Source organism: Homo sapiens, chromosome 1, assembly GCF_000001405.40.
Source record: "Homo sapiens chromosome 1, GRCh38.p14 Primary Assembly".
NCBI classification, from domain to species: Eukaryota; Metazoa; Chordata; class Mammalia; order Primates; family Hominidae; genus Homo; species Homo sapiens.
The window spans coordinates 30,711,013-30,731,897 of record NC_000001.11 but is presented as its reverse complement, the minus strand read 5'-3'; the positions used below and the strand labels follow the sequence as shown (position 1 = coordinate 30,731,897).

General features: G+C 54.8%; 1 protein-coding gene and 1 long non-coding RNA gene across 2 annotated transcripts, besides 7 other annotated features; one reads left to right on the top strand and one right to left on the bottom strand.

The window, feature by feature from the left end:
* Positions 1,296-1,405: an enhancer, noted in NCBI's record as "active region_617". NCBI's record gives its function as "activates an Ori minimal core promoter by ATAC-STARR-seq in GM12878 lymphoblastoid cells {active_cell/tissue: GM12878}" and the evidence as "EXISTENCE:reporter gene assay evidence [ECO:0000049][PMID:35858748]".
* Positions 1,556-1,685: an enhancer, noted in NCBI's record as "active region_616". NCBI's record gives its function as "activates an Ori minimal core promoter by ATAC-STARR-seq in GM12878 lymphoblastoid cells {active_cell/tissue: GM12878}" and the evidence as "EXISTENCE:reporter gene assay evidence [ECO:0000049][PMID:35858748]".
* MATN1-AS1 (MATN1 antisense RNA 1) lies at positions 5,152-13,126 on the bottom strand. The gene is made up of 4 exons (NR_034182.1): positions 12,333-13,126; positions 10,176-10,610; positions 5,847-6,163; positions 5,152-5,655 (listed from the first exon to the last, which is right to left on the bottom strand). It is a non-coding gene; the product is annotated as an MATN1 antisense RNA 1 (long non-coding RNA).
* On the top strand, positions 8,313-20,621 carry MATN1 (matrilin 1). Its single transcript, NM_002379.3, has 8 exons — positions 8,313-8,440; positions 10,147-10,493; positions 12,941-13,163; positions 14,983-15,108; positions 15,573-15,989; positions 16,589-16,741; positions 17,571-17,651; positions 18,267-20,621. Exons 1-8 carry the CDS (start codon positions 8,347-8,349, stop codon positions 18,314-18,316), a joined length of 1,491 nt encoding a protein of 496 aa, NP_002370.1. The 5' UTR covers positions 8,313-8,346; the 3' UTR covers positions 18,317-20,621.
* Positions 12,261-12,836: an enhancer, noted in NCBI's record as "H3K27ac-H3K4me1 hESC enhancer chr1:31191909-31192484 (GRCh37/hg19 assembly coordinates)". NCBI's record gives its function as "activates a minimal SCP1, AML or CMV promoter by ChIP-STARR-seq in naive and primed H9 embryonic stem cells {active_cell/tissue: H9 hESC(naive and primed)}" and the evidence as "EXISTENCE:reporter gene assay evidence [ECO:0000049][PMID:30033119]".
* Positions 12,514-12,603: a silencer, noted in NCBI's record as "silent region_560". NCBI's record gives its function as "represses an Ori minimal core promoter by ATAC-STARR-seq in GM12878 lymphoblastoid cells {active_cell/tissue: GM12878}" and the evidence as "EXISTENCE:reporter gene assay evidence [ECO:0000049][PMID:35858748]".
* Positions 12,934-13,103: an enhancer, noted in NCBI's record as "active region_615". NCBI's record gives its function as "activates an Ori minimal core promoter by ATAC-STARR-seq in GM12878 lymphoblastoid cells {active_cell/tissue: GM12878}" and the evidence as "EXISTENCE:reporter gene assay evidence [ECO:0000049][PMID:35858748]".
* Positions 13,164-13,683: a silencer, noted in NCBI's record as "silent region_559". NCBI's record gives its function as "represses an Ori minimal core promoter by ATAC-STARR-seq in GM12878 lymphoblastoid cells {active_cell/tissue: GM12878}" and the evidence as "EXISTENCE:reporter gene assay evidence [ECO:0000049][PMID:35858748]".
* Positions 13,724-13,903: a silencer, noted in NCBI's record as "silent region_558". NCBI's record gives its function as "represses an Ori minimal core promoter by ATAC-STARR-seq in GM12878 lymphoblastoid cells {active_cell/tissue: GM12878}" and the evidence as "EXISTENCE:reporter gene assay evidence [ECO:0000049][PMID:35858748]".

The window sequence follows — 20,885 nt, the reverse complement described above, 5'->3', positions numbered from 1 at the left end:
GATAGGGAAAGCCTAGGGGACCTCAGACGTGGCCTGAGGGCCAGAGAAAGCCTCTTGGAGGCTGTCACCAAGTGGAGTCTGAAGGATGAGAAGGCAGCAGTAAGCAGAATGGGAAGGGTGCTCTAGGTCTAGGTAGCAGGACACGCAAAGACTCTATGGCATTGGGGAGAGGAGCTGGGGCGAGCTGCTCAGCGTGGCTGCAAGTGGGGAGGGGAGGGAGAAGAGGTCGGCCCGCTGTGGGGCTGGGTCAGGAAGAGTGTTTGCACACAGTGGGGCTCTTTAGGTGCAAGCTCACCCTGGCTAAGTTCAGCCAAGAAGGGAATTTACAGGAAGGACATGGTTGCAAGTAACAGAAGCCTTATGAGCCAAGTTTATTATGAGAAACCAGAAGGTGGTTCACGATGTTTCTTGGCTCTCATACAAATAAAAAATCCAGGGATTTTTGGCTTCAGGTATGGCAGGATCCAGGACTACAACTCTTTAATAATGTCTCTCTGTTTCTCCATCTCTTATCTTTTCTCCCCGGTGTGGCTGAGCTGTTGAGGACTTACCTGAAAGTAAAGTTAATAAAGAGACCAGGGCTGTTTGAATTGGGATCTGTCACCAATACCAAAAGAGCCCTCAGAGCCTTGAATGTCACACCGAGGAACATGGACTAATCCTGAGACAGGTGTCTTTGAAGGATTTTGGGCCAAGGAGTTACAAGGTTTGGGTTTTAGGAAGGAAGAGCCCAAATGCAGGGACCCCTACAAAGGCTGGGGAAGTCATCCTATGGGGCGGCAGGGACGGGGATGAGTTTGAGAGGCATTGTCAACCTTCTGGTGGTGTCAGTTTTTTTGTGGAATGGCAGATTTCTTCATGGATGTTATTTGCTCCTTATCAGACCCCCAAGCAGTTGGTGCAGTGTAATTCACAGAAATGGAAAGCGAGCTCCTGTTCACACTTGAGGGCAGAGGCCCAGAGACATCAAGTGACTTTCCTGAGGCCACACAGTGGTCAGAGATGAGACCAAGCACCTTTTTTTTCTACTCCGAGTGGAGGCTTTTAGACGGGCTGGGGCCCAGTCTGTGTCAGTTGTTGCTTCTTGCAAAGACCCATGGGAAGAGGGCCCGCTGAGAAGCCCCGGCAAGTGTGGATTGGGAGCAGAGGTCACGGGAGGAGAGACATTGGCCCAGCCTTGCATCCTATCACAAGGAGATTGAAGGGCCATGGCTGCGTGTGTCACAAGGACCAGGAGGCCCTGAACTTCCCGGCGCGACTCTCCCGTCCTTCCCGCCTTCCCCGACTCCCACCTCTGGCCTGGAGCCGAAGAACAGGCTGAGCTGTGTAGTGGGATTGTGCCCTGTGGCCAGGCAGCTGGGAGGGGGCCACCCGAGGGACAGGAAATAGCTGGGTTTGGGGAAGTCCGCATGGCTAGCCAAGCCAAGCGAGCCCACGATCGCCTGGGCAGCCCTCACTGAGGCCCTATCAATGCCCCGTTTGAGGCTCACACAGGGGTCCTTTGACGGGGCTGCGATGGTTTGGACCCACTGACAGCGCCTGTTTGAGCTTCATGCCTGGAAAGGAGCCGGCCCCAGGACAGAGGGGGCTGCTTCCAGGCCTGGGCAGGTGAGGGCAGCCTGGAGTGGTTGTCTCTTGGAGGGAAAAAAGAGCTGGTAAAATTAAACCTGGGGTGCTAAGCGGGGCAACTTCAGGTTTCTCGGGAGCTGTGATGGTAGCAGGAAGGGTCCCCGTAATTGAGTGGGCCCTTCAGTGTGCTGGCTCCACAAAGCTCCCAGTGGCCTCACGCAGCAGGTGCTGGGTGGTGATCATTCCTGAGGTTCAGGGAGGGGCTGCCTCTGCCCACAGTCACGCATTGGCCAAGGGGCAGACCTGGGCTTGGACTTCAGTCCACCCAAATGGACCTGAGCTTGTCTCTCTAGACCTTTCTGGGTAACCTCGCCCTTCCTCTGGGAATTTCTACCTCACAAGGCCCTCATTTAATTCCTATTCCAGGCTCTGAGCCCTCTTGGGAGGGCCCTGGCAGAAGCAGGAGGCCTCAGAGGCAGCAGGGAGCTTTTGGATGTTGCGGACCCTCGGATGGTGGTGCCCAGCTCTGAGCAGAGGATGCGAAACGGGGGATGGCAAAGGATGCATCGCGTTTTGGTGGGGCTAGATTTGCGCTTCCTTGGGGGACATATAATGGGAGGTGCTCAGGAAGCAGCTGGGTCTCTAGGTCTGGAGTTTAGGAGAGCGAGGAGGGAGGCAGGTTGAGATGTGAGTGCTATCTTTGGACATGTGGGTGGGATATCAGGTTGGGCTGGTATCACCCAGGTGTTAACCCATCAGAAGGATGTGCTGCTGCTCCGTGGCCTCCCCAGACAGGCCGGCAGATGAAAGCACACGCCTCCTCACCCTGGATTCCAGTTTGGCTGACCATGCGTGGGGCCTGAGACCAAGATAGCACATGGGAGGTGTCATGAACCACATGTGACACCTCAGATCATGGGGTCTGTGGCCCGAATGGGGCCTGGGCAGGAGGAGCAGCCCAGCTGCACTGCAGGCTCCTGGATGGGGCGATGAGCATGGCCACTTTGCAGGTGAGGAATCTGCCCTGTGACTGTGGGCCCCTCCACATCTCTGCCTGACTTTTGGGAAGACCAGAGATTCATGTCCAATCCGGTACTCTGGCAGTGTCTCCAATTTGCAATGAAACCGTTTAAGTGTCAAGAAAAGCAGTCAGGTTAAAGGAAGTCAGGGGCAGGACCCACCCTCGGGTTCTCCTTGGGTCTTTGGGTGGCAGCAGGGCCTCTGCGGAGGGTATAAGCAGCAGCCACTGTGTGTCTCTGCAGCCACAGGCCTTGCCCGCTGCCCTCCCGGATGGGCTCTCTGGGAACCAGTGCTCACATTCCAGTCTGTCTCCCGGGTCCCAGGAAGAAGTCTCCCTAATTAGCCACCAAGAGCACGCCGATGGTCAGTGGGCATAGCAGAGAGCTGCTGGCACGAGGGAGCCACAGTTCTAAATAAATAAACAACATCCACCTGGGAAACAATTTTGCTGCCATCTCAGTGGCCCAGATAGTCGAACAGAACACTCGCCTGCTGCTTCCTCTGCTCTATGTGCTGGGAGGACATGCGAGGCTGGAAAACAGCTGGGCCAAGGCCTGGAGATGTGACCGGGTATCCTGAGAAAAGGACTTGGGTGCAGGTAGCTTATTTGGGAGGTGATCCCAGGAAATACAGTGAGGGGAAGTGAGGTGGGGACAGGATAAAAGCCAATACAATGTGCATGAATAAGCTGGTCACCTCTGTGGGCAACCGCGGCTCACTCCTGCTGGGGACCTTCTGAGGAACGGCGAGGAGCGTGTCTCAGAACTGTTCAATGGGGGATGGGGACGTTGGGGTCTTCTGATCCCTGCAGGTTGCGGGTTATACCTGGGGATGTTAAATCCCCAGGCTGCCTGGCCCACTGCTTGCGTCCCTGGGAACTGCCTGCAGCTGTAGGTGAGCTGAACCCACAGTGGGCTGAAGGGCCATGGGTTGGGGCATTAACTGGGCCAGCTAGAGTTCCCAGTGCTAAACCTGAGCCCGCTCCTCCAGATGCTCATTTCTTCTTCCAGTGTGATTGATTACAGGGGCCATTCCCCGTGGGAAGCTCTCGCAGTCGCTCCTGGGGTGAGGGCTGACCCTCTGGCCCCGAGAAGGCACGTAGCAGGGGTGGACCTTGTATTTTTAACAACCAGGTGAGTAGCATGGGTGGCCAGGTGTAGATGACCTTTGAGTTTCCTTCAGAGTCTGAGCTTCAGGGTTTCACATTTCCCTACAAATAAAATGGGTCACCATGCATTGAGTGCAAACTCTGATAGGGAGCTAGTGAGAGGGCTGGAGTCTATCTGGGAGGCTCTGAAAACAGGAGAGTGACTCATTCAGTGCTAGAGAAGAGAGGGAGATGGTGGGAGGGGAGGAGAGGGGGAGAAAGGGAAAGACTAGAGAAGAGAGGGAGAGGGAGGGAGGGAAGGAGAGGGAGAGAAAGAGAAAGACTGACAATGGCCTGGAAGGTGGAAGGAAGCTGACAGTGAAGAGCTTTAAATGCCAGCCAAGTCTGAATTTCCATCTAGAGGTGATCCAGTGCTAACAAAGGCTTTCCCCCCGGCAATGGTGACAGAGACTGTCACTGCTAACTAAATGCCATATCCTGGCCCTGGGCATCCAGGTAGAGTCAGGTAATGTGTACTCCTTCTCTGAGGCAGTTAAGAGAGATGCTTGCTGTCTCTCTCTTGTCCACATGGCCTGAGACAAGGACTTGGAAATGGTGGAGGCAGCTTTGGAGAGGGCCTATGTGGGGGGCACCCACCTGGCACTGGACGGTGCTAGGAGAGAGAAGCAAACCCTGTATTAAGCCATTGTGATTTGGGGGGCATGTCTGCTATTGCAACATAGCCTATCCTAGCCTGACTGATAAAAGAAGGCGTTGTAAAAATAATAAGCATTGGCCTGTCACGGTAGCTCACGCCTGTAATCTCAGCGATTTGGGAGGCCAATGTGGGCAGATCACTTGAGCTCAAGAGTTCGAGACTAACCTGGGCAACACGGTGAAACCCTGTCTCTACAAAAAAAAAAAATTCACTGGGCATGGTGGTGAACACCTATGGCCCCAGCTACTCAGGAGGCTGAGGTGGGAAGATCACCTGAAACCGGGAGGTCGAGGCTGCAGTGAGCTGTGATTGTGCCACCGCGCTCCAGCCTGGGTAACAGAGTGAGACCCCATCCTAAAAAAAAAAAAAAAAAAAAAAAAAGGAAAAAACTAAAACAAAAAGCCCAATACGCTTGATGTAGCATTCACTGCATTTCTTCCTTACAACCTTCCTGTGGCATTAGCATTAGGATTCCAATGCTACTGACATGAAACAGGCAGAAAAAGGAGGGATTTACCGGAAGTCACCATGGCTGGCCTGTGACAGAGGGGGACTCAAGCCCAGCTCTCTTTGATTCTAAAGCCGTTTCACTTCACAGGATTCCTCAAAGTCTGTCGTGCATGCCACTGGCAGAAAACAAGAAAATTTTCAGTGATATGTGGATGAAAAAGCTAAATTTAATTAGTTTTGAATTTATTTGAATTTTATATTGAATGAGTGTTTATTGGAATAAATAAATAAACCGTACATCAAACCAGTGATTTCATGGCTATTATTTCTTATAAGGCAGAGAAATTTTTAAGAAGTGAGTTGGTTTAGAGTGAATTAAACAAAAAGATTAAATAAATACTGGTAAAGGCGTATATGGATACTGCCAAACAGCTGATGGTGGGCAAAGAGTGAAGGGGGCAGGCTGCCCCGGCTGATGTTGCATTTGTGTTAGCTAGGTCATTGCGAGATAACCAGGTTTGCTCTTTAGGGAAAGAGCTGATCCTGGGAGCACTGGGGAGGGAGTCCTGTGTGCTTCCCACTGAACCACACTGCCCAGGGGCCTCTCCGTGGATCACAGATGCTCTCTCTTGCATGAAACACTAACGGCTTTAAGTTTCTGGAAGCCCGAGGGATGTGAAAACAGGAGGAGGGAACAGCAGAGCCCTTCACAGCTGCCTGTTTGACTTGTGAGCAACCTTGCAGAAGGCCCCTTCGTGCATTTTTTTTTCCTTCTGGCTCATACCGGACACACTGTTCTCAATTTTGAGTCCTGGGGAAAAATGTTTCACATTTAAAAAACACAAATATTGATTTTCTTTCCTTAATGTATATGCTGAACTTTTAGATCTCCTCTCCACCACCGCCCCCAGGCCTTGCCCCTGTTATAGAATGCCAAAGCTGCCTTTTTTTTTTTTCTGGTGGTGTTCGGGGGGGGACCCATCTCTGTTCCTGAAAAGTTACCTGTAGTGTATTTCTGCAGCTCTGCTAATGAGCGGAGAAGTGACACAGAGAAGGCGCCTGTGTTCTTCCGAGGAGCCCATAGAACTGCCATTCAGAGGTGGAGCTGAAAGGGCTGTTTCATGGGCCAGCTGCTGCCCAGCTAACGGAGCCTTGTGCCCTGAGCCCTGGACACAGCCCTGGCCGTCAGGGGGGTTGGGGTGGGGGGAGCAGTTGGTGAGGAGACCCCAGCTCACGTTCTCCTCGTTCACCTCCAGCATGGCACGAGGACAGCATTGCGTTTCTCACCGCTGGTCACCGTGGATGGCCCTTGTGTGACCCTGGGTGGTTTATAGGGAAATGGAACAGGTTCGTAGTTAGTTTTCATTCATTCCTTCATTTGCTTACCAGAGATCCTGTGCCAGGCACCATGCTGGGTCCCAGGGATTCAGTGGTGACTGAGACGGGCAAGCCCCCTGCTCGGAGGGAGCTCACGTCCTTGGGGAGACAGGTAACACCTTAATTACACCATTTTGGGAAGGGAGAGGCACCACCATCATCACACCTTGCAGCATCTCTGGAGAAGAATTCGACTTCAAAGTTGTAGCAGAAAAAGGAATCAGCAGCTTCAAGTGGTTTTTGGAATTGGGGAGGGCAGTGAATTAGGCACACATGAAATATAAGGGGAAAAAGTCAGAAGGCAATGCTCTTAACCTCCTCCTTCTCTAACACTGGTGCAAAGGGGAGTGAGGCCTGAGCTTTAGGCTTGGCTCTGCCCCTAAACTGGCTGGTGGCTTCGGGTAAGTCAGTGAACCTCTCTGGGCCTCAGTTTCTCCATCTGACAAATGGGCCAAGAGACTCAAATCTGCTGACTTCACAGGTTTGTTGGGTGAGCAAATGAGATAGAGTGATAGAATGAGTAACTGCCATGTCAAGGGTGGAAGGGATTGTTATAATTATTGCTAAAGAGTGTGGTAGCGGTGAGTTGGGTCTGCTGCACCCAGCAGTCGCTTTTTGTCTGTACATTTCCTTTTATTGAGGTATAATTTACACAGAGTGAAGTGCATAGGTCCCAAGTCTTAGGATTCTGCCTCCTGGAGCAATGACAATCCTTTAACTCCATTTCCACTTCTGTCCCCCTCTTGCCCCTCACATGGGGCAGGCAGATCAAGAACGACCATTCCCACTGCACCATGGCAAGCTGAGGCTCAGAGAGGTTAAGTCACCAGCTCCAGGTCACACAGCCAGTTAGGAGCAGAAGTGGCTTTGAACCTGGATCTCTCAGGTAGCCAAGCCCATGCTCTTTCTGCTCTATCTCATGAACTACTTGACCCAAATGCAAAGAAGGGGATCGTTCCTGCTGATGTTACTTTGTTTAGAAGGCTTTATCTTTGCCTTCTCTGTGCTGGGCCTGATGCAGAGTTGAATCCACTGGCTGACAGGTGAGGTGGGCCAAGCAGGGACCCACAGGGGGAAGAGATGGGCAGGGAGAAGCCACCTACATCAAGCTACACTGAGACAGCAGCATGGCTGAGAGCCGGGCCTGGGGCTCTATCCTGGCAATAACACTTCTTAGCTGTGTAACTTCAGACAAGTTATTTTACCTCTCTGTTCTTTAACAGTAGCTGCTTTAAAAAGTTGTCAAGAGGATTAACTGAGAAACCTCATCTAACTCCTTTGCTCCTTGAATCAACCCTAGGAGGCGCTATTACCATCCCTAGTTTCCAGATGAGCAATCTGAGACATGAGAGGTGAAGTCACTTGCCCATGGTCACACAGGTGGTTTGCTGGTATAGCAAACCCAGGTAACCTGGCTCCCAAGTCTGTGCTCTTAACCATGGTCTCCACTGCCCTGCCCATACTAACAGTGAAGGTACATGTTAGCCCTAATTATGACCTTGAAAGATTCTACAAGGCAGAGAGTTAGTGAGAGGAAAGGATTCTGGGCAGATGGCCCTGCATGTGTGATGGCCTGGAGGCCTTCGAGGAGAATCCAGGGGTAGCTGGAGAGCAGGGCGTGTGCGGAGAGCAGGGCACAGTGAGGCTGGGGAAGGGGAAGTGAATTTAATGAGAAACTTGGGGTTGTGAGTGGGGGAAGGATTTGGGTGTGGGATGAAGGTGCAGGACAGGGCTGGGCCGGGCCATTGGACTCAGGTATGCCTAGGCTTGGGGTGGAGCTTCAAGGCAGCGCGGGCTCCAGCCCCTGGAAGAGCCACCCCCCACCCACCTGAGATTTCCCAAATTCCAGCTGCCGCTCTAGTTGCTTCTGCAAGCAAAGGAGCCCTTGTGGTCAGAGGGGCCTCTGAAGCCTGGGCCAGGCTCTCCCGCCCTCTCAGGGCACACACACCTCCATTCAGCCCAAGCCCCGCCCTTTGGGGGGGCTGGGGGCCAGGGCGGGCTGCCCCCACGTCAGTCGTCAGTTGGGGGCCACCTGACCCAAAGGCTGGGCGGGCAGTGGGGTTGATAAGACCTGGACCCCACTGGTCCCACAACCGTGCCGGCTGCTGCCCGTGCTGCCAGAACTATGAGGGTCCTCTCTGGCACTAGCCTCATGCTCTGCAGCCTGCTGCTGCTGCTCCAGGCCCTGTGCAGCCCTGGCCTCGCCCCCCAGTCCAGAGGTGAGGGGGCTTGCGTGAGATGGGGGCTACTGAGCTAGTGGGCCCTGACCCTCAGCACTGGGGGCTGGGTACCGATATGGCAGGGAGCACACGGGATCCAGGATGGGGAAGGGAGCAGGGCGGCAGTGGTGGGCAGTGGGCTGGTGCAGGAGCAGACAGGGACCATGGTGCTTATAAGGGTCAGGGCAGGGGTGCTCCTCAGCCCTCAGGGACCATGCATGAGGCAGGGACCTTGGTCTTCCAGGTCTCTGGGGAGCAGAAGCTACTCAGAGAGCTGGCTGACGTCTGGAGCTGCACCAAGCCCAGGGCTGAGCCCATGGCTCTTTGATGACAGCAGACCTGGGATGCCAAGAGCTCATGCCCCCTTTGCAGGTCCTTCCAGCCTTGGGCTCCCTGGGGGCAATAACACCCCCCAGAGTTTCAGGTTTGGGCACTGAGTCCTGGAATGCCCATTCTTCCTGTACAGATGGGGAAACTGAGGTCAGTGAGGGCCTAAGACCACACAGTGAGATAGCGCCAGAGCCTCTAGGTTATTGATCTACTGCTGTACGGTGTGGCCAATTCCCTTTCCCTCTTTGGGTCTCAGTTTACCCATTTGTAGCCTTAGCGAGTAGACAGCAGGGAGCCTGCTGCATGGTGATTTCTAAGGTCTCCTGAGGAACTCTGATGTCCAGAGCCCCAGTCTAGGGCACTGTGAGTTACTGTGACTTGGGGGTTGGGACGGCCCTGCACGTTTCCCCTTTCCTCTTTGGGATTGGCTCTGCTCAGTTCAGACTCCGCATGGGATGGGGAGGGAAGGGCCTTTGTAGTGAGACCTTCCTGACTGCAGGCCCAGGCCAGTGACAGTAGCCTTATTCTCTCCACTGGACATGTGAGATCACGGAGGCTCAGAAAGGTGCAATGATCTGCCCAGGGCCCCACAGAGTGGCTGAGCCAGGATTTGAACCCAGGCCTGAACTCACTCTGACCCTGCATACTTCCCAGCACAGGGTGCTGCCTTCTTGGGTCTCTGGAGGACATTGCTCCTCGGGGGTGTGTCTTGGTGTGCACCTGATCAGGCTGCCGAGGTGGCCACCAGGAATTCCTGCTCCTTTTCCCTGTCTTTGGCAACCCGCCAGCAGGCGCTGCCAGGCTGAGGGAAACTGGTTCCACTTTGGTGATTTGCTTTGATGCTCAGATGAAAGAGGCCATGTTGACGGGCACTGCTTTGGCTCTCAAGCCTGTGCCCATGCCTGGAGGGCCCATCCTTGGTGCCCTCCTGCCCAGCTAGAAGAAATAGCTGCCCTTGTTTCTGGCAGCAAGTCTGGGCTGAAACCTAAATGTGTTTTCAAGGCCGCAGGGTCCTTTGCCACCCCTGGAATACTCATTGCTTGCCTGGCCCCCTGCTGGCTCCTCAAAACATCCTGTAAGGAGGGATTGCTAGCTCACTGCTCAGATGAGGAAACTGAGGCTCAGAGAAGTGAAGCAAATGGCCCAAGGCCAGGCTTGGCCCTCTGTGTTCCCCATGGGCTGAGCAGGGGGCCTTTGGCAAGTTGCTTGCTGGTGTCTGCATGTTGATAAAAGGGCTCAGCTGCCCAGCTGAAGTTTGCAGCCTACTGGGCCCGAGGCCTCGCACCTGGATCTAAGAAGCCGCACTCTGTGTGTTCAGGCCCAGTCCCTGACCTGTGTCTCTGCTCTCTGCCTTACCCCTCCTGCCCCACTCCCAGGCCATCTCTGCCGGACGCGGCCCACAGACCTGGTGTTTGTTGTCGACAGCTCTCGCAGCGTTCGGCCTGTTGAATTTGAGAAAGTGAAGGTATTCCTGTCCCAGGTCATCGAGTCGCTGGACGTGGGGCCCAATGCCACCCGGGTGGGCATGGTCAACTATGCCAGCACCGTGAAGCAGGAGTTCTCGCTGCGGGCTCATGTCTCCAAGGCCGCACTGCTGCAGGCTGTGCGCCGTATCCAGCCGCTGTCCACAGGCACCATGACCGGCCTGGCCATCCAGTTCGCTATCACCAAAGCCTTCGGCGATGCAGAGGGTGGTCGTTCCAGGTCCCCTGACATCAGCAAGGTACGTGCACGCCACCCTGCTAGGATGCTGCTGTTTGGAGGCTCCCGCTCGGAGTTATGAGCTTTGCCTGCAGACACTTTGATTCCCATGATGCCCCGTGAGGTGGCCATTTCATAGCTGGGGAAACAGGGTCAGAGAGGGGCGGTCATTAGACAGAGGTCACCAGTTGCAAGTGACAGAGCTGGGATTTGAAGCCACCTTTACCCAACCTTTCCATCCTAGGAGCTTACAATCATTTCAGTTTAGTTGACCTTGGTTCCCGACCAGTCTGAGCCCCTTGAAGACATTGCAGACAGGCCAGATGCTTATGGGAGGAGTGAAGGTGTGGCCTCCGCCACCAGCCTGCCTGGGTTCACGCCCTGCTCCACCATACTAGCTGTGCCACCCCGAGCAAGTGACGTCATGTCACTGGTGCTCGGTTTCCTCACCTGTAAAATGGGAGTAATGATAACACCTTCTCCAAGTGCTGCTGAGGACTGAGTTCAAAAGCATAAGGCTTCCCATCATGGCATTTGATAATTTTTAATTTCATAATTCTCCGAGGGCAGGGGCTCAGAAATGGAAGGGCTGTGCTGCCACCTGTGCTGTCAGTGAGGGCTCCAGGCAGAGGGCTGAGCGTTTCCCAGGACTTGTATCCTCACTGTCATGTTCAGGGCTCAGCACAGAACCTGAGGCTAAGCCAGGTGTCCTCTGTTCCTGTGGCACCCCCACAGGCTCCAGCACTTCCCCACTGCAGCCTTCGTTAGCCCGAGTCGCCACTTCCCTGCTCAGGGCCCCAGCTCAGGGGAGGTTCTTTCTTATCCCTCCTCCATACCCCACTCTCTAGCACACAGTGGATAAATGAACATGATTCTGCTCGGAGGTGGTATCCCCATTTTACAGATGGTGAAACTGAGGCATAAGAAGCTTAAGCAACTTGCTCAGCCAATAAGTGGGAAAAGCATTCACAGAGACAACAGCATATAATCCCAGCCATTACCACCCCTTAGAGAAATGACGTATCAGGCAGCCTGTCGGTCTTGGGGCCAACTACAAGTTTCAGCACGGGGTGCTGTAGATGAAGCTGATGGTTGAGGTGGTGGAGAGGGTGAAGGAGATGGGGGTGGTGGCGTGGGGTGGGCAAGTGAGGAGAGAGCTCCTCCAGCAGGTGACACAGCGGCGCTGGGGGAGCTGGCACCAGACTCCAGGTGTTCAGCCTGGAGTTCACCTGTGGGAGGACCCAGCAAGGTGGACAATCTGAAAGCTGGGTTGCAGGGAGGGGAGTAGGGACTCGAGGAGGCAGTGGGCCTCGGGATGGCAGCGAATAGTCACAGCTAGATTTTCAGAGCCAGGAGCCCAGGCCCCTGGAGAGGAAGAGATTGTACAAAGTCACTCCCCAGGTAGCCCAGGGTAATGATGGTAAAAATAATAGTTGCCCCTTCTGGCTTCTAACCAGGAGTCATCTCACTCAACCTCACCACAACCCTTTTTACAGTTGAAGACACTGAGGCTCAGGAAGGTGACCTGTAGCTTGTGGAGCTGCATTTCTAAACACGGCCTGTCTCAACTGCCTGTCATCAGGACAGGGTGTCAGGACCTGGGGCTAAGGATGGGACCCAGGAATCAGAAACAGACCCAAGTCAGAAGCAGAGAAGCAGCAAAGCGGGACTGGATGCCTAACCCAGACTGGGCAGAGCTGGGAGCGCCCTAGCCTCAGGGCGGGTGCAGACAGGGGGTCACGAAGCCGGATCTCAGTGACAGAGTCCGCCACCTCTTTCTTTCCAGGGTACAGACCAGAGGAGCCTAGTGGGAGGGGAGCAGGCAGATTCTTTCCCTCTCTGGCAGGGGCATGTATCATACCGGGGAGTGGAGGAGGATAAGGGCGGCATCTTTCTTGGGTTGGTCCCTTGGGCATCCACATGGGAGTGGCCCTCCGTCGGTTCCCTGGTCCAGGGTCCCCGGTCTTACCGGGACAAGGACAGCAAGACGGGAGACGGCAGCCCCATCCCTTAGCTTCGGCTGCCATCTGGTGGCCAAAGCGCAGAACTGCACCATGTGGAACCACCGGATCCCCCCACCCAGCCCCGGCCGGGCCTCCCGGGGGCACGAGGGGCGTGGCACGACTCCCACAGCCATCAGCCTGAGGACCCTGCCCTCAGCCGCCTCAGTCTGAGGGGAAGGCATGGCCCTGACCTTAGAGACCCCAATTTGGCGATGGGGCATCACATCCCTCCGGGCATCTCAGAGCTGCCTGCCCGAGGGAGGCGAAGCAGATGGAAAGCCCCCCAGCCACGTCTCTCAGTCAGAGGAAACGGGTCTCCTCTTCGGCCAGCCGGGTCCTCTTCCCCCGGGTGCCGCCTGGCTGTGCGACCCGGCAGTCCTCCCGCCTCTCCGGGCCTCAGCCTCCTCTCCTGGACAGTCCCGTGGGCTTCCGGGAGCCCGGTGTCACACCGCCCCGCGTGTCGCAGGTGGTCATCGTGGTGACAGACGGGAGGCCCCAGGACAGCGTGCAGGACGTGTCTGCGCGGGCCCGGGCCAGCGGCGTCGAGCTGTTCGCCATCGGAGTGGGCAGCGTGGACAAGGCCACGCTGCGGCAGATCGCCAGCGAGCCGCAGGACGAACACGTCGATTACGTGGAGAGCTACAGCGTCATCGAGAAGCTGTCCAGGAAGTTCCAGGAGGCCTTCTGCGGTGCGCGGGCAGGCGGGGGCGGAGCCAGGGCAGGGGCGGAGAAGGGGAGAGCGGCGGGGCGGGGCCAGGGCTGGAGGCGGGACCGAGGCTGAGGCGCAGACGGAGCCAGCGCCGGCGCAGGGCAGGGGCGGGGCCGGGGGGGGGGCAGAGGCGGAGACGGGAGAGAGATAGAATGTCAGTGCCGGGGCGGGGCCGGGGAGGAGCCGGGGGCGGAGGCGGAGACGGAGAGAGTCAGCGCCGGGGCGGGGCAAGGGTGGGGCCAGGGCAGGGGCGGAGACGGAGAGAGCGGCGGGGCGGGGCCAGAGCAGGCAGGGGGCGGGGCCAGGGCAGGGGCGAAGACGGAGACAGTCAGTGCCAGGGCGGGACCGGGGCGGAGGCGGAGAGAGTCGGCTCCAGGGGCAGGGCCAGGGCTGAGCGGGACGAGGCCGTGGCAGGCGCAGAGACTGAGAGTCCGCGCTGAGGCGGGCCAAGGCTAGGGGCGGAGCCAGCGCTAAAGTGAAGACAGAAAAAGTCAGCGTCGGGGGGCGGGGCCACATCAGAGGGCGGGGCCTGGCTGGGGCGGTAGCCTATAAAACGGCGGGAACTGAGTTACACGGCAACATCAGGGCGGGGCCAGGGCTAGGGACACGGCTTAGGTGGATTGGGGGTGGAACCTGGATTAGACTGAGGTGGTGCCAGCACCAGGGGTGGGGCCGTAGCTGGGGCGGAGCCTGATAACGGAGGAGGGTCTCCAGCCCCAGGTTAAGGGAGTTGGGGAGAGGCGATGTTAAGAGTCCTTTTATGGCCGGGCGCGGTGGCTCACGCCTGTAATCCCAGCACTTTGAGAGGCCGAGGCGGGCGGATCACGAAGTCAGGAGATCGAGACCATCCTGGCCAACATGGTGAAACCGGTCTCTACTAAAAATACAAAAAATTAGCCGGGCGTTGTTGCGGGCGCCTGTAGTCCCAGCTACTCGGGAGGCTGCGCCAGGAAAACGGCGTGAACCCGGGAAGCGGAGCTTGCAGTGAGCCGAGATCGTGCCACTGCACTCCAGCCTGGGCGACAGAGCGAGACGACTCCGTCTCAAAAAAAAAACAAAACAAAAAAAAAAACCGCACACACAAAAAACAACAGAGCCCTTTTATGTGGCAGAATCCTGGCAGGGACCAAGGAGGGCCCAGAGCTCAGGAAGGAGAGCTCCCAGAAAACCTACACATGTTTCTGTGTCGTGAGTTTTGGGTGCCAGAGTTTTCTGTGATGCGGGAGAGTCTGAGAGGCCTGGGCACTGGCAGGAGAAGGTTCAGAGCCCTTCTCGGAGGGGAGGTGTGTGTGTGGGTCTTTGGGATGTGACCCGCAGGGGCAGGGTGTCCAGTAGGACAGGATCAGGGTTAGGGCAGGGACTTTACCCATTTGTAAAATGGGTCTAAGAAGAGCATGCACGTTATTGAGAGGATCCAGTGAGATAATGCAAAATGTAACCCTCATTATATGGTATTTGACAGATAGGTGCTGTGTTCATTGTATGCTGTTCTAGACACTTGGGTGTCTTGATACAGCAGTGAACTAAACAGACTAAAGGCCCTAACCCTTGGCCTTTACCTTTTTAGTGAGACTTTTCATTCTTATCATCAGCATTATAACCTTCTTCAGGGATCTAGGCACTGGTGCAATGATTCCAGACGTGGGCTGAGAGTCGGGGGCCTGGGCCCCAGTATGTTGGAGATCTTAGTTTCCCTGAGTCTGGATGGGGCCTGGTATCCACAGTCAGGGAGGGACAACCTGTCTGTAGTGCCCAAGGCACTATGACTGTGAGATCTGAGCTACTTATTGTCCCCGCAGTGGTGTCAGACCTGTGCGCCACAGGGGACCATGACTGTGAGCAGGTGTGCATCAGCTCCCCCGGTTCCTACACCTGCGCCTGCCACGAGGGCTTCACTCTGAACAGCGACGGCAAGACCTGCAATGGTCAGTGGGGTGGACACAGGCTCGCCCTGGAGAGGGTGTGGAGGGGAGGTGATGGGGCCTCCCCAGGAAACCCATTCAAGCCTCCCTGCACCATACCTCTGAACCAATCTTCAAAGCAGACAGATGCCTTTTAGAGTTTGGTATCTGCAGAAGTTCTCACCTGACTTCTGTCCCTGTTTTCAACACAATGGGCGGTGGGTTTAGTGTGGTAGAAGGACTCACATAGTCTCAAAATCAAATCCTGGTGCTACCACTTCTGAGCTGTGTGATCTCACAGCTATTGGAGTTTCAGTTTCCAATACTGTACAGTGGGACCAGTCACCTTGGCTTTATAGAGGCAGTTCTGAGGGCACAATGTAATGATCCTCAGCACAGAGCTTGGTGTGTGGTGGGTGTCCAGCCGGGGAGCAGGATGGTTGACTATGTCCTTCAGCTTCAGCCCGTTGCCTTCCTGTCCTCCACAGTCTGCAGTGGTGGTGGTGGCAGCTCGGCCACTGACCTGGTCTTCCTCATTGACGGATCCAAGAGTGTGAGGCCAGAGAACTTTGAGCTGGTGAAGAAGTTCATCAGTCAGATCGTGGATACGCTGGACGTGTCAGACAAGCTGGCCCAGGTGGGGCTGGTGCAGTACTCAAGCTCTGTGCGCCAGGAGTTCCCCCTGGGTCGCTTCCACACCAAGAAGGACATCAAGGCGGCTGTGCGGAATATGTCCTACATGGAGAAGGGCACAATGACTGGGGCTGCTCTCAAGTACCTCATTGACAATTCCTTCACTGTGTCCAGTGGGGCTAGGCCCGGGGCCCAGAAGGTGGGCATTGTCTTCACTGATGGCCGGAGCCAGGACTACATTAATGATGCTGCCAAGAAGGCCAAAGACCTCGGTAGGTGTTGCCTGCCTGGACCCTGGACACCACTGATGGCCAGGGGTACACACGGGTATAGCCCAACTGTAGTTTATCTTGGTGTCGTCTGATTAGTGCCCTAAACCCAGGTGAGTTTGAATGAGGAGGATTGGTTAGTCCAATTCTCTCTTATACCAATGACAAAATTGAGGCCCCAGAAAAGTAAGTGGCTTGTTTTGATGGTCCTTTTGTAAGTGAGGCTTGGAACTTTTCCAGCTGGATATTCCCAAGAACACATCAACTATTGGAAGGCAACTCTACTTTGGAACAAGCCCGAGTCTGTTTTGTAACCTATTAAATGAGGAAAAAATAACCACCAGATGGATGATTATTAGGGTTAAATGAAGCTTGCTGTACAAAGCTTCCAGTACAGGAAGTCACTATAGGGTCTGACACAGAGCAGAACCTCAGTAAATATTGATTTTCTCATTGTCCTTGTTCCAGGCATTGTGCTTGCAATTCCAGCAGCTGCCAGCAGGAGGTGTCTGGTGTTGGCTGCCTAAGCCTTCCCCAGGAGGCTCAGCCATATGGTTGCCCATCCCCATGTCCAGCCTTACTTCTCCTGTTCCTCCTGGCAGGCTTTAAGATGTTTGCTGTGGGTGTGGGCAATGCCGTGGAGGATGAGCTGAGGGAAATAGCCTCAGAGCCTGTGGCAGAGCACTACTTCTACACGGCTGACTTCAAGACCATCAACCAGATAGGCAAGAAGTTGCAGAAGAAGATCTGTGTGGGTGAGTGAGGCCAGGGCTGGCATTGATGGGATTTGCAGGTGGGGCACTGTGGAGGTGGAGCCATCCTGGAACTGGGTGTGGGTGGGGAAAAGCAGGGGCCGAGGTGGCACCAAGAGTTGGCAGAACCAGAAGGTGGGCTGGCGCTTACAGCTCTTACTACCAGCAAACATGTTGAATGCTCGTTACGTGGCTGGCAGTGTTCTCAGTGCTCTCCGGATATTACATCATCCGATCCTATTTGGTAAGAATGTCATTAACCCCATTTTATAGATGGGATAAACAAGGCCAAAGGGGTGGAACAACTGTTAATAGCTGGGAGAGCCAAGATTTGAACCCTACTGCCTCTCTGGTCCTCTCTGGTGACCTCACCAGCTGGTTCTTAGTGGTAAGGAGTGTGGGTTTCAGAGCCAGACGTGCCTGGGCCTGTGTCTTTGCTCTGACGCTGTTGGCCATGGGCAAGTTTTTTCACTTCTTGGATTCTTCACCTGTAAGATGGGATTAATGACTTCAAACCCAAAGGGCTGAGGTGAACTCACTGAGGTGACATAGGGGCCCCTACTAGTGTTCTTCATGCAGCAGGTACAGGGATGCTCTCCTAGTTCATTCTCAGGGCTCCAAGGGACCAGGAAGACGTTCAGGGGTCACCCCTCTATCACTCCTAAGGGTGCTGTCTCAAGGACTATCTATATCTTTCTGCCTCCTCAGGTCCCTTAAGCCCCTCACCTCCCCGGGAATCCTGAGTCCTGGCCCTGGGCAGTGACTGTCCTCCCTCCTCCTGGGCAGCCACTCAACAGTTCCTTTCTCTTTCCCTCCTCCTTGTCCCCTGCAGAGGAAGACCCGTGTGCCTGCGAGTCCCTGGTGAAATTCCAAGCCAAAGTGGAGGGGCTGCTGCAGGCCCTGACCAGGAAACATATCCCTTCCCAGAGGGGGCTGGGGCTGGGGAGGGGCGCAGGCCAGTGTTGGGGGAGGCGGGGGCATGGCCCAAGTGTGGTCAGTTGGGCAGGCTTCTCTTGGCCTGCTTACTGCTGATGGGCTGCATTCTGGCAGAATAAGCTGAAGCCAGCTTGGGTGCACACCCTGTCAAAAGCAGAGACTCCTAGAAGGTAAACAAGAAAATGAGGCAGAAGCCAGGATCTAGGGACTGGACACACACCAGAGTCCTGGACATGCTCTGAAGAACATGGAGCCCATGGATGCCCCATTTCTCAGGCTCATGGTGACGTGCCTGACCCCAGTACCCACTCAGAGGTGGGGCTGGGCCCCAGACAGTTCCCCTGGCTCAGCCAGGACTAGGTGGGGAACCCAGCAGGTCTAAATCTGCAACTGAGCAGGGCTGGGCACTCGTGGCTCACAGTAACTGGCTGTGTTTTTTGGAAAGCACCATTCTGAGGACAGTGGATGGATAAGTTCTGACAGAGGGGAGAATGCACGCTGTAGTGGGGTGTTGCAGGGGCCTGAGTGCAGGGCCACAGCCATCCCTGCCCTGCTCTGGCCAACCTGCACCTCTCCTTAACTCTGAGTCCACTGGAAGCTGTGAGTAAGCGGCTGGCCATCCTGGAGAACACAGTTGTCTAAGGCTGCCTGTCACCACTGTGGCCTCTCCAAGCGTCCTGCACGTGTCCGCCGTAGCTTTACCATTTTAGTGAGGGAAGCCAGCCCGGGGGTGGGAGGGGGTGTGTCTGGGTGTGCCTATTGAGAGCGTGTAATGGCGTTTGGGAGCTCGTGTGTGTATGTGTGCGTGTGTGTATGTGTGCATGTGTGTGTGTGTGTGTGTGTGTGCACGTGCGCCTGAGGGTGGGCATGAGTCTTGCCAGAATGTGAGTGTGAGAGTGATAATGCAGGGGTGAGTGTGAGAGGGACTGCGTTTGCATTTTTATAATCAAAAGCTTAATATATTCCCATCTTTTTTAGTTAACCCTTTCTTGACTCTGAGTGCTGTGAATTTCTTTACTGATTTCTCTATTCTCCGGTGAGAAACAATTAAATGTGATTTAACGTAAGCAGTGAATGGGGCTAGAGGCAGTGTGGTTATTTGGGGACCAGGGAAAAGGATGGATGAAGATGTGGTGGGAGGGGATGGTTGGAAGGATGGTAACAGTGGTGGTGACAGTGATGACAGTGACCACACCAAAACCAGCTGGTGTTTGTCCTGCCTTTTCAGTTACATATTCATTTAGTTGACCTCATTTCACTTCCAGTAACCTTACCCAGAAAAGACTCAAATTATCCCCATTACAAATGGGAAAGCTGAGAGTCTAAATGATGAAATGACTTGCTCAGCAGTGGGTCGCTGAGAGACAGGACTTGAATCTAGGACTGAAGAACATCAAAAGAAAAAGGCTTCAGAGAAAAAGGGCAATGACACCAGATAGGACTCATTTGTTCATTCATTCATTCGTTCACTCATTCGTTCAGGTATCATGTACTTACAGGGCAATGGCGGTGGGGGGGGATGGTGCTGTATGAGACAGACGTAGTTCCTGCCCTAAGAGACATACAGTTGAGCAGGGTGCTCATGTCACCCCCACCAGCCAGAGGGACCAGCCAGAGGAAAAGAGAGTGGGTTTAGGTCGTACCAGGGGTTTGTGCCTCCTCTTGATACCTGGGAGCCCACGGGGTGAGTGTGTGTGTGAGATGATGGGAAGGGCTCCAGCCTGGGCCTGGGCTGCCCTAGGTGCCTCTCCCCTCCCGCCCCCAACATGCCCTGTTGGAGTTCTGTTTGTTTCCTGTGCACAGGCGGCATCACCCCCAACCCAAAGTCCCCAACGCAGATGGCAGCAGCCCCACCTCAGAGACTGCACAAGAGAAAGACTCCTGGCCCCATGTTCCCTTCCTCCAGCCCTATGTGGGGTCTGCAGGTCACACCCTGAGATCTCGGCCACCTCCCCCAGGCCCCTGTTGGACCAGTGCTGCTCCGGAATCTCCATCTCTGTCCTCTCAGAGGGGGAGCTTTGGTGATTTTCTGAACCTATTCTTGTTTAATGGAGCATTTTTAGTGTTACTACTAGATTCACACTTGAGAGCATGTCTAAAAGGCTTTTACAAGAAGCTCAGACCACACCGAAAGATCTTCCTCGGAGGCAGTTCAAAGAGGCAGAATAACAACACGAACGGTACCCAAGAGCTACATCAGTACAACAGCACAAATACACAAGCGCGACTTAACTGGGGCACAGCCACCCTCGCCCCCATGACCTGACTCCACCTCCTACACAGTTCACCAAACCCTTTCTCTCTGTCCGTCCCTGGGGCAGGAGTTTTTCTGCTGTCCAAGGAGGCTCCTTGACACAGCCACCTGAGAAGTTATGACTCTGCTCATTCTTCCTTTCTTCTGAGATTATCCACTCCCCTCTCCTCCCCACACAGGTGGGGAGGGGGAGAGGCAGCCATGTTGATATGGACTGAGAAGGCTCAGCAGTGTGTCCCCAAGGAGGAGGAGAGGGTCATTAGCGGACGCCATGGCCTGGGAGCTGGCGGGCAGAAGCAACAGATGTCCCTGATGAGTGGAGTCAGAGATGGGGTGGAAGCCCTGCCTGGGAATAGGACCTCGTTCTTCCCTGCCCGGTGGGTGGAGTAGTGGCAGGACCTTGTCACCAGGCTCTGATGAAGGCAGGGACCAGCTTCTTGGGATCTTTCAATCCCAAACTCTTGCCCTTCACTCATCGCAGTTCTCCCCACGGCTACTCCAGGTCCTCTTGAAATCCGTCCTCTCCATGGACTTCCCACATCCCTCTCTGCTCTAGGTTTGATTAACAGAAGGTTGTAAATGAAAACCAGCATCTCCCGAGGGCAGCCATGGTCTACTGACAGATGGCAAGTTACTTTGTAACCTGTAATTTTGTTTTTTTGAATTTTGTATAAATAAACAGGACTAAACTAATTAGGATTGTTCTTTTCTTTCTTTCCTCAGGCCTTGGGCTATAATGGGAGTCTCTTGGCCCCGTAGTGCATTGGTTACCAGGTTTCAATAAAGGGTTTGTCTTTGCAATTACAGTTCATTAATGGATTTACAAGGGAGAGAAGATGGCACAGTCCGCTAAGGGGATTGTTTTGCATTTCTCCTCTTTTAATTACATGGTTTTCTCCTGGACCAGTGCTCTTTGAAAAAAGGGGGCGGGGGTGGAGAGTCCCAATGCCCCATCTG

Coding starts and splice junctions, on each gene's coding strand:
- MATN1 (NM_002379.3), top strand. CDS start 8,347: ATGAGGGTCCTCTCTGGCACTAGCCTCATGCTCTGCAGCCTGCTGCTG. Junction 8,441..10,146: donor CCTCGCCCCCCAGTCCAGAG/GTGAGGGGGCTT, acceptor CCCCACTCCCAG/GCCATCTCTGCCGGACGCGG. Junction 13,164..14,982: donor GTTCCAGGAGGCCTTCTGCG/GTGCGCGGGCAG, acceptor TTGTCCCCGCAG/TGGTGTCAGACCTGTGCGCC.